The following is a 2029-nucleotide window of genomic DNA, read 5'->3' as shown; positions in this document are numbered from 1 at the left end:
TTTGTTGTCTACAAGAAACATACAACCTATGGAGGCACACATTAACTGAAAATAAAAGGATAGAAAAAATATTCTATGCAAATGGGTGCAGGAAAAGAGTAGTACTAGCTATACCTTATATTACACAAAATAGATGTCAAAACAAAACCTATAGGAGATGAAGGTCATTATATAATGATAAGTCAATTCAGCAAGAGGATATAATAATTGTAAATATATATGCATCCAACACTGAAGCACCCGGATGTATAAAGCAGATATTATTAGAGCTAAAGAAAGAGATGGACCTCAATATAATAATAGCTGGAGACTTTAACACTCCACTTTCAGCATTGAACAGATCAGCCAGACAGAAAATAAACACAGAAACATCAGACTTAATCTGCACAATAGACCAAATGGACCTAATAGATGTTCACAGAACATTTCATACAATGGCTGCAGAATATACATCTTTTCCTCAGCACAATAATCACTCATAGCATTCATTATTGTTGCCTACAGGTTCTGGAGAGGTGACTAGGGACTGGCACAGACCTTTAGCACAGTGCAGTCACCCGATGGAAAAGGGGCCAAATTGCCTTCCATACAGTTTCCTGTCCTCACATCTCACGGGCAGGGCCACCCAACCTGGGACTCCAGCACAACCACTCTGCTACCAACTGATCACTTCAATCAGAGGCAGCTCCACATTTCTCTAAGGAGGAAATCCTAGAGTCAACCCACAACTCCCCTGCCACTGCAGCTGCAGTGGTACTGCCATAACTGCCCTCAAGCTGTGGAAGAAACAAAGAACCTAGTCACTAGCACCTCCAGCACACAGCAACCACCATACAGAGACCAATACAGTCCCTCTACCCTGGGAATGCCCATCCCCCACTCTTTATCAAGCAGGAATCCTGGTTCAGAACCACAGAACAGCTACCCCACCCACAGCTGAGCATACCCAATGGTAGTGATTCTGAGTTTCCCTGGGGAGAGGCTCCCAGAGGCAATCAGTAGCCCCTCTGCCACTGCCACAGCAGCAGTTTTGCCCCTGCTGCCCTCAGTCTGGGGAAGAAATAAAGAGCCTGAGGGCTACACCAAGCATACAGCATGCCACAGTCACCATAAAGAGGAGAGACCAGTTTTTCTTCCTGGAGCCGTCAAGCCCCACCCCCCTTATCAAGCTGACCTCCCAGCTCAGGCTAGCAGTGCAGCTGCCCTGCCCTCTAGCTGAATACTTTCAGTACCAGTGACTGTGTTTCTTGGAGGTGGAGCTCCAAGGGGCAACTGAAAGCCCCTTGGCCACTGCCTCTGCAGTGGTACTGCCCCTGCTTCCCTCCCACTGGGCAAAGAACCAAGACTCTAAGTTCCTTATCCACCCTTCCAGCAAGCTGCAGTTTCCCTAAGGAAAAAAGGCCTGTCTCTCACAGGTCCCACCCCACTGCCCATTACCAGGCACCTGCTCCCCACTACCTAGCTGGGACCCACAGTGCAGCCCACCATCCCAGGCCAATCATACTGACTGATTGCAGCTCTGCATCTTTCTGGGGCACAACCACTGCTAAAGCCCCTTCCTGTGCTGCCTCCAATTTGGGGAGGGAACAGAAACCCTGACATCACCTCACAACTGCGCTGTGTAGCCCAGGAGTACTAAAGTAGTAATCTGCAGCCAGCACTCAAGTGGGGGAGTAGCCCACACATTCAGACCTTTAAGAGAGAGCAGAAGTGCAACTGTGAGGAAATACAGAAGAGCCATATAACTGAGCAAGAGCCTATCTACTGACCATTATGCTTAAGTGCCACCTACTGGATCACACCCCACAACTTCAACACCAAAAATACTTCACTAACACAGTTCTCAGTGAAACCAATGACAAGAAGTCAGCTACAAATAAAGACTTTGCATAAAGCCTCAGGCCTCTGAAAACATCCGCAAAAGAAGCCTACTCACTGTACCTGATTTACACTGCAGTTAAACGAACACCCAAACATGCAGAAGAGAAAAAAACAATACAAAAACTCAAAAGGCCAGACTTCTTCTGTC

At 47.2% G+C, this 2029-nt stretch overlaps 1 annotated feature.

The window, feature by feature from the left end:
* Positions 790 to 1290: an enhancer, noted in NCBI's record as "H3K4me1 hESC enhancer chr2:167485044-167485544 (GRCh37/hg19 assembly coordinates)". NCBI's record gives its function as "activates a minimal SCP1, AML or CMV promoter by ChIP-STARR-seq in naive H9 embryonic stem cells {active_cell/tissue: H9 hESC(naive)}" and the evidence as "EXISTENCE:reporter gene assay evidence [ECO:0000049][PMID:30033119]".

The sequence above is a fragment of the Homo sapiens genome, chromosome 2 (genome assembly GCF_000001405.40).
Source record: "Homo sapiens chromosome 2, GRCh38.p14 Primary Assembly".
Lineage (NCBI taxonomy): Eukaryota > Metazoa > Chordata > Mammalia > Primates > Hominidae > Homo > Homo sapiens.
This window is presented reverse-complemented; position numbering and strand designations above follow the sequence as displayed.